General features: G+C 36.0%; 1 annotated feature.

Annotated features, from left to right (window-relative positions):
* Positions 8172–8372: a silencer, noted in NCBI's record as "peak6762 fragment used in MPRA reporter construct". NCBI's record gives its function as "represses an SCP1 promoter by STARR-seq MPRAs in K562 erythroleukemia cells {active_cell/tissue: K562}" and the evidence as "EXISTENCE:reporter gene assay evidence [ECO:0000049][PMID:32103011]".

Here is a 9558-nt window from a genome sequence, read left to right on the forward strand (position 1 = left end):
GAAAACTAGACCCACAAAGCTTAGAGTTATGGAAAAGGGAAATACAAGTTTTGTGAGTAGATTACTGGGAAGTTAGTACAGCCACATCTACTTCTGCTCTTTGTTCCTGAACCTATGCATGCTGCTTACTGGGGACACAGCACTGTATAACAATCATTGACTAAAGGTTTCTACTGTGTCTTGGAAGTTAGATTTCTATTCTCAAAGGATAAGTTCTCCAAACTTGTGCCTCAGCTACAACTTCATTGTGCAGTTTCATTGTTGTATAACAGCTTTTCTTAACCTCAGCACTATTGACATTTTGGTCTATATGTGTATATATAGACCAAATATATATATATATATATACAGATTTTGTTATGGGACTGTTCTGTGCATTGTAGAATGTTTATCAACATTTCTGGCCTTCACCCATTAGGTGCCAGTAGTATAACCAAAAGTATCTCCAAGCATTGCCAAATGTCCCCCAGAGGGGAAAACTGCCTGTGATCGAGAAGCACTGATGTAGAGTTTATAATTACATCTAGCACTTTTACAAGCAGAAATTACTTACATGCACACACAGAGCTTCTCCTGACCTTACCAGCCTGTGGGTACAAATTGTATAATGTTAAGTTTCATAACCCAAATTTCAGTAAATTTTTAACCATCTACTCATGTAAGATCCAGACCTCTGTTTTAGACCTTATTAGTGCTTCATACTTTCTAGTTTAAGAAGGGGACAACTGTGATTGGTTGGGGGTCATATCATGAGTCCTAACCAGAGATGTCTGTCACTGCCAGGCTGAAGACTTTGTCAATGTATAGTTTCCAGGTTCTCTTTTTCAACTTCATTAACTGAGGTTGCAACTAGAGGAAGCTGGAGACTGCATTAGCCCAGATCACTGACTTGCCTGGAGAACCTGTCTAGACCCACTACACATTTTCTATGAGTGAGAAACATCCATTTGCTGGGTTAAACCACTGAACATTTATAGTTGTTATGATAGTTCCGTGTAACTTAACCCATCCTGATTAATGGAACCTTATTACTAAATCCCCACCATACATGCAGCTACTTTTTGATGTTCTATGTTATATTCACATGCTTTCAGAAACAAATCCAGTCTTTCACAGTATGGTGTCTACTGGTACTGCTGTTACGTCTGGAAGATATCACCTTATCACCTGAGTAGTACACAGCAGACCCTGTCATGCCAGGTTTCCATTTTTTAACCTGATACTGCTCTTATGCATTTGGTCCTGCTTCTGCTTCTGCTTCTGCACTGCCAACAGGCCCTTGAGATACCAAAAGTATTCAGTGATAAAAATGGAGGAAATTTCTTTGTCTTCCCTTTCCACTTTTCGTTAACCAAAACAATGAGCTCATAATCCTTTGTACCCACTTTGTCTTTTCCTCTCAGTTAGGAAAATTACTCTATCTTTCCTTCCATTATTTACCTGCAGCTCTTTGTGTCCCACAAGGACAAAATCATGAGGCAATAAGGCAACAACTTCTCAGTAATTATCCAGCCACATTCCACAATGTTTCTATCTTGTAACAACTAGGATTTTACAGCCCGGTAAAGTTTGTCTGGCTCCATTTTCATTCAGATGAATTCCTGGCTGTCTGCCTTCAGTAATTCAGCAGATATATTCAGACATTTCTGAACTTCAACAGTAAATATTATTTAGGCTTAAGATGGTAGCTTTGAGCAGGTTTGATATAAAATTTTAGAGAAAAGCATAGGCATCATCTTAAGGCCAGAAATGCTAAAAGAACGTAATTAAGGAGTGTAGACAGATTCTATAAGACAAATATCTTTGTACAGTCATAGTGATGAAAAAATGGGGTGATCTAACAAGTTAGTGGATTTATATAAGGTATTTTCCAATTATATCAGATTTATAAAATACGTGAATGTAAGTTGGAAAAATTGATAAAGAAAATCTCAAAAAGCCACACATTTGTACACATATAGTTTTAGTCATGGGTCAGTGTCAGGAAGAAAAAATTTCAAAGTAAATGGTTTTCAAATATATCATATGGTGATTTTAAACTTATGTTTAGAAAAAGGGGAGGAACTATTATAATACAGGACAAACCCATTCCATGTGAGAAATGGTTACCTGGTAGGTGATAAGATCTTCCAAAAGGTGACAACTATAAGACTAGGAGCAGTTGCCCTCTCTTTTCCAGGTCAGGGAAGGTTCAATTCGATAGAGACTTACTTGCAGGGAAAGCATAAGTGAGAATGCATTAAGCCACTTGTGACGAATACAGAAAGGAATATTGGCAGAAGAAATAAATGGTTGCCACAGAGGCAGTCTCCGCCATTCTTCACCAGAAGAATCTGAAAAGAAAAGACAAAGGAAGGGATTTTACTAAGGATAAATGGTTTTCTTGAGACATCAGGAGGAGGTTCAATAGGGAACAGAAGGAGAGTGATGCAGACACTGCATGCTAAGCCATACTCTTTATTTTCTGTTTTGCCCAAAGTCAGAAGACAATGATTTTGCTCAAGGTTGGCGCTTCTTATGTCTCTGCATGCATATTGGTATGTGTGTGGGTGTTCATTGTATTTAACCATTGTCTTCCATAATTTATTGTCAATTCCATGAGAGAAGGTACTATGTGATTTTTTTCCACCTCCAAACTTAGATACAAGTCCTTGATATCTCAGAGGTGCTCAGAGAATATCTCAGCAAATGCATGAGTATTAGCCAGATGCTGGCTTATAAACTCCAACTAGGAAATGCACATAACAGCTGCTTGAGAGGGCATAACTTCCAATGGAGAGAATGCACTTTTTGTCTGTTTCAGTCTTCTCTAGCAGAAAAAAAAAGGAAGATTAGAAAAATGTTGATTAATTCCAAATCATAGGAATCTGGATTAAAATGGCATCTGAGTTGAGGAGCCTGAAGGGGACTCTCTGAACTGACTCTAATAGCAAAATATATAGAGAAGAAAGAAAATCTCACACCACTCACAGAAACTCAGAATGACAGTCAAGTTGTGGCTGCACAGCAGGAAGATTTACCAGTAAATCCAAGATCATTAGGACCGGGTTGAAAAATTATAGTTGAAGATTCACTTGTGCTCTCCTGTTCAAAGCAGCAATCTCAATCATTGCTTGGAGGTTGCTAAATAATATACCTTTTTTTCTCTTTCTAATTGCTATCTCAGAATTACAGGGGCCGTAATTTTACTGGCCATAAATTTGATAGCTACTTGAATGTCTATTTTATAAAGTACAGACCTTCTGAAGTAGCTGAAAGATTTTTTCTGCCTTTCTCACGTCATTGTGCTTTAAGCACCTTTAAGAAATAGAACATCTAATCTTCTAGAAAGAAACAATATTAGAGGTAAGGTACATAGGCTTCATTGCATACTGGGAAGATAAATCTTCTTACAGGTTAAAGAAAAAATGTTCCCAGAACACATTGTATATGGTGGTTTGGTTTCATTGTAATATTCCATCTTTTGGGAGTTCCTGACAGCCAGACAGTGACCATTGTAGAGATTTTCTCCTTAGTCAAGTGGGCGAACACTGTATGAATGCCTGCTGGATGTTGAGCTATTTGCGAGTTGCAATTTGTCCTTCAGAAGTTTGTCTGAGAAGAGGGTCCAGCTACTGTACAAGACAGATAATTAGTCATGTAACTGGAAAATTGTGAATCTGGACAAATCTTTTTTTATTTTAAGATATGTCTCAATAAAATCATATTAAACAGAAGACATTTATAATACAGGGAGATAAAACACTGAAAACAATATATATTTGAGTCTGGGTAAAATTGTACAAAACAGTGTGTAGAATTGCTGATAAAATGCAACACAATGTGGAATCCTTTCCTGTGCTCCCCCTACCCTTGCAAAAGACACTAAGTTAAACAAAAAGTAAACAGAATGTATGAAAAACTATAGAATAAAATGAAAAGGAAGTTGAGGTGAAATTATAAGAATTTCAAGAAAATTGTAACTACAATAGCAGAATCAGAATATTTATCAGAATAGGTAGTTAGGCACTGAACAAATAAATTCATATATTATATAACAGAATTGACAAAGTTTTGAAAATAATTACAAAGGATGTGTAAGAAAATTTACACTAACAAAAGAAAATTGGATTTATGATCCAATTATATATATTTTGAGGAACGAACTAACATAATAAAATCAATAACCAAAGATATAGTTAAATGTATTTTAGATTCTGAGAATAGAGAAAGAGGAATAAAAATTATCAGGCAATATCAGTAAAAAGAAGACCTATAACTAGGCACATGCTACCAAATTTCTGAAATCTAAACATAAAGATAAAAAGCAATCCAAGCACAGCAGATTGAAACTTTCCATGAAACAACAACAACATCAATTTTAAAATAACAGGTTTTATCACTGGAGGGTTGGGTTTGAGTGCTCCAATTCTTTTACTGTATTTATTTTTCCATGTTTTTTACTTTCCCACGTTTGTCATGTGTTACTTCTAAAGTAATGTAAAGTCACAATACAGTGCAATTGATATATATCATGCTGTATGTGTCAATGCTGAAACTGTGTATGTTTTGAGTAGCTATGTTTATCTCTTGTTGTACACCAAAATATTAATCATGACTATAATTTAGTAGTAAAATATTTATGTTCATTTTTGTTTTTGTAAAGAATCATATAATTTTATTATCTAAAAAGAAAGCTTATTTTTTAAGTATGAAATGCCTCTCTTTACATAAAAATATATTATGAATGATTATAAATGTAATTGAAAAAAAACAAAATCTTAGGAAAAGATGGAGACTATAAGTGTACTCTAGTCTTGGGAAATAACTTCTTAACCAAAACAAGACAACTGAAGCCATACAAAATATTTGTTTTTAATGTTTAAAAATGCAAATGGATATATTTGACTACATAAAATTATATTTTTGGTATCAAAAATATCCTTAACAAAGTATATAGATAAATATTAGATATGAAAAATAGTTTCTAGCAAGATGACAAATATTTAATAGTAATAACATACAAAGAACCCTTATAAATTGTCAAAAGTGACAAATAGCTCAATAGAAAAAAGTAAGTAAAGGGTATGATTATACAATTTATAAAATAACACATCTGAATATACAATAAACACATAAAAATGCTCAAATTCAGTTTTTCTCAGCAAAATACAATTTAAAGTAACAAGGAGTACCAGACTGGCAAATGTTTGAGAGAATGATAATACCTTTTTGCTGGCAGGATATAGGATAAATGATTTATCTTGTCATGTATTGCTAATATAAATGTAAATTTTAGCAGGATTTTCTAAGAGGAATTCAGCAGCATCCGTTAAAATATGAGACTTGGTTTAGCAATTCTATTGCTGGGTATATATGTAATTATAGTAAACATTTTTATATGTAATGACATTTAAACAAAGTGGCATTGTACACACTGGCAAAGGAAAAAACAAGAAAAGAAAAGAGCTAAATTCCCTCAATCAGGGAAAGGCTGAGTAAATTATGGTAAACCCAAATCAGAAATATCAGACAGCCATTATGAATTAGTTAAAACAATGCTAGTTGACTGGGAGGAGTTTTATGATGATGGTTGAGAAAAGCAAGAAGCAAAAGAAGGGAAAATGTGGTTTATATTTTGTAAAATCAACTGATAATATGATTTTCCTTATTTATATGCTTTTATTTTGCTCATACAATTATACACGGAAATGTGTGACATGGGTTACATGCAAACTGAGACAAAGATAACACAAAGGATAGAGAATGGCAAGAAAAATAGTAAGTCTTAAAATTCTAGGCATTGCTCCAAGTGCTGGAGATGCAAAGGTGAATCAAACCTAGTCTTTCTCTTAAGAAACTTATAGCTCAGAGAGGGTAAGAGTTGGTCAGCAAAGTGTGTGGATCACAAGGCATATTCTGATAAAACATTTCTAATGTGAGATCAGCCACCCAGGAGAAGTGTGGGCAGGACATTTTAAAAGGAAGTCGAATGCAGCATCAGAAATTTCCCAGTATCTTGGGGGAAAATCGGTTAGCTAGCACTTTCCAGACAATGTGTATCCAGTAGGAGAGAGTAGTTGGAAGACAGCTCAGAGAGAGAAATAAGACTCAGTGTTTTAACAGGTGAACAAGCATGCTCATGTGAGTGAGGCTAATGAGTTGAGGATCAAGGTGAGATTTGTCCTGTTGTTGGCATAAATATCCTTTGGAGTAGGGATGGATAGGACTTAAAAGATTGTTTAGCATGGTAGGGAGAAGACACTCCAACTTTAAAGTTCTTCAACAGGTCAAATTGGTTTACAGATTTAGAAAAATCAGGGAAGTTATTGAATACTGGATAGTACATATTACAATTCTAGCGTTATTTTTCAGGTATGCAAGGCTTACACAATTTTTTTTGCAGGGCCTCTGTCTATATAAACAATTTGATTAAAATTACAAAATTTACAGGCCCATGGGTGGTACAGTGAGCTATCAAAAATGCACATACACCTTTGTGTATCGTCCTATCTGCCTCTGAGGATTCTTTGTAGTGACCAGACACCATTGCTTCTTTTCCAAGTTCTGGAATGCTGTTTTCATGCTTCATATTGTTGAATGCATCATTCCTCACTAATTTCACATCTGTCACTGACAGAAAAAGGTAGGAATGCCATTCATATTCAAATTGGTTTGGCTGAATTATAAGAATTGTATGAAAACAATATGGATGTTCTTGCTTCTGCCATTCCCTAATACCATTTATATAATGCTGGATATATTGTTACAAATGATGCTGCATCTTCCATTGTGTAACCCATGATTGCTAGTTTCCAATGACTTACTCAAAGGTTGTTACTATGATTAATTGTTCCTAATTACAAAGATAAATACTATCCAAAGTATGTAGGAAAATGTGAATAAGAATTCATTTTCTGGTCATGTTAACTTTGTGATTTGAAGCATGAAATAACACATTTCCAACCACATCTTTTCTTCAACTTTCCAGCCTGTAATTGCTACATTCCTAGAATGTTGTCTATAGCCCTAACTTCCACACACTGTCACTAGTAGGAAGAAAAGACAAGGACCCAGTGTTCAAAGCAAGAAGAATGACCTCATTCATATAAGGAATTCATGTAAAGAATCCCTCAAATAGCGTGGCTTAAGCCTGACTCAGGAGAGCACCATATCACCACACTGATTAGACAGAGAGAAATCAATAAGAAGGGTACTTTGGCACTTCAGAGTAAGTTTCTCATAAGCCCTCTGAGGAATTAGGTGCCATATCCCTGAGAGATTGCCTAGAACATGGTGCCGAACTGGTAGAGGGTGTGGGTGGTCTCCCTGGGTACTGATGGGGATGGTCCCAAGAGTAAATATTGGCTACTGCCATCCCTGTTTCCTTCAGATGCTGTAGGCATGAGGCAGAACTGAGACCAACAAAGAAGAGTGAAAGTCCATGCAGGGACCCACTCATGAGGCTCATACTCAAGAGCTGACAATACATCACTGGCAGCCCAAAGCCCTGAACGTGTTGTACCTTCTTCTTTGGGTAAAAGTGATCTAAAACAAGTGTGTCAGCATCATTCTGGTGGCCCCATCTCACACCATGCCATGAAAGAAACACCATACCAGCCAGCGAGCACAGATCACCCTTGTGGAACTGGGATCCAGCCATAGGGCCCCAGGAGGACTCCACTGGCCCCAGTCTTGGAGGTCATTACGGCATCTGGTCAATACCAAAAACTAGGTAGAGGGTCAAAGAATATCTGGAAGGGGAGAAAAAGGAGATTGCAGCTCACACAACTCCTGGTGTGGACTCATGGTACCCCACCTGGCAAGGACTACTAGCCTTAGCAGGTTCCAGTTACTTGAGTGGAACCAAGGAAATGTCAAGCTTGATGCTTCCAGTGATGGACACTGTCAATGGCCGAGGTCTGGGCTCTAAGTGTGCTGCCAAGAAAACACTGCTGTCCCTGGTTAGTCCAAGGCCCAGGAGAGTGCCTTAGAACATTTTCAGGAAGGCATTCCAAAATGTGTGGACATCTGAAGCATGGGGTCTCAGAGCAGGGGGACCCTAGCCCAGGTCTAAGGATGATACTGAGAGAGACTGCTATTAGTTTATCCAAACCTATTTCCCTTATTTCAAGTCAGACAGTCAAATCATATTTTCAAGGCTTCCTTGAAGTTGAGTTCTAGCTAGTAAAATGTGGACAGAAGTGATTTATGTCATTTTCCCAACCTAACTCATAAACACTTCCTATATAACCTTCTCCTCTCTTTTCCCTTGCTTTATTGGAAGTATATCAATACACAGGGTAACCTGTCTATATACTAAAGATAGTCTTTCCACCCCAGAGTCCTTCCTCCTCACCACAGTTTGAGTAATGAATGCACTTCTATTGCCTTAGACCACTGAGATTTCAGGGCCTCGCTGTTATAGAAGATAAACTAATACATTAGAATTTTAAGACTGTATATTTCTGTCAGAATTCTTTTTTTCAGTTATGTTTATTTTTATTTTTCTTTATTTTTTTATTTCCATAGGACTTTGGGGAACAGGTGGTTACATGGGTAAGTTCTTTAGTGGTTATTTGTGAGACTTTGGTGCACCCATCACCCAAGCAGTTTACACTGAACCCAATTTGCAGTTTTTTATTTATGTCAGAATTCTTAAAGCTATAATAAAAATATGGCATGTGAAATAATTTAGAAAAGAGAATTTTTGCCACTAAGGGCGAACATATGTTTGCTGAGCATTTTGCCCTAAAATTAGATGTAGATGATAACATCAGTAACTTGGGACGTAAGAGAAATAACTTATGTTCCAGTTTATCTTAGTTTCAGCAAAGAAATTGGCCATGTCTCTCACAGATCCCTTTAAGCTCTGTACTTAATATTATAAGGGTGATGTGTAATGGACTGTGTCAACCTGAAAGGAAATGTTAGTAAAATTCCACAAAGCTCCATTATTCACAATATCTGATTCCTCATTTTCAGTAGTAGCTTAAAGATAGATGAGATCATTATCTAATGTATAGATGATGAGAACCAGAAAGAGATAATATGATATGCCACAATCAGGATTCAAAATGATAGACTAAAAGATGGGCTGAAGCAAAGAAAATGAAATTTAGCAAAAATAAAAATAGGACACTAAATTTAGTTTTAATGTAAATTACCTTTATAAGATAGATACAACTTATTTAAAAGGACAAAAATGAGGGCATTTCAGAAGGAAGTGGCATTTCTTCAAAATTCACAACTTGCCAGGTATACCACCAAAATGATTCTATAGTTGTTCCTAAGAACTGGCCCAGATAAAGAATAGAAGAACAGATATATCTGGAATCCTTACAACAGTGCTTCTCAGTGGAGATGTTTTGAAAATTTATGGGTGTATTTTTTTAAATTGTCTTAATGCTTTTTGTACTGTGAGTATTACTGGCTAGCAATGCTAAACATTGCACAAACTAGGACAAATTCCAGAGAACCCTTCTACAATATTTGTGAACTTGAAATGTCCTGAAGAATATTATTATAGGTAAAAATCGTTTATGATCATCTGAGTTTAGCATGTGACTTCATGCAACA

The sequence above is a fragment of the Homo sapiens genome, chromosome 7 (genome assembly GCF_000001405.40).
Source record: "Homo sapiens chromosome 7, GRCh38.p14 Primary Assembly".
NCBI classification, from domain to species: domain Eukaryota; kingdom Metazoa; phylum Chordata; class Mammalia; order Primates; family Hominidae; genus Homo; species Homo sapiens.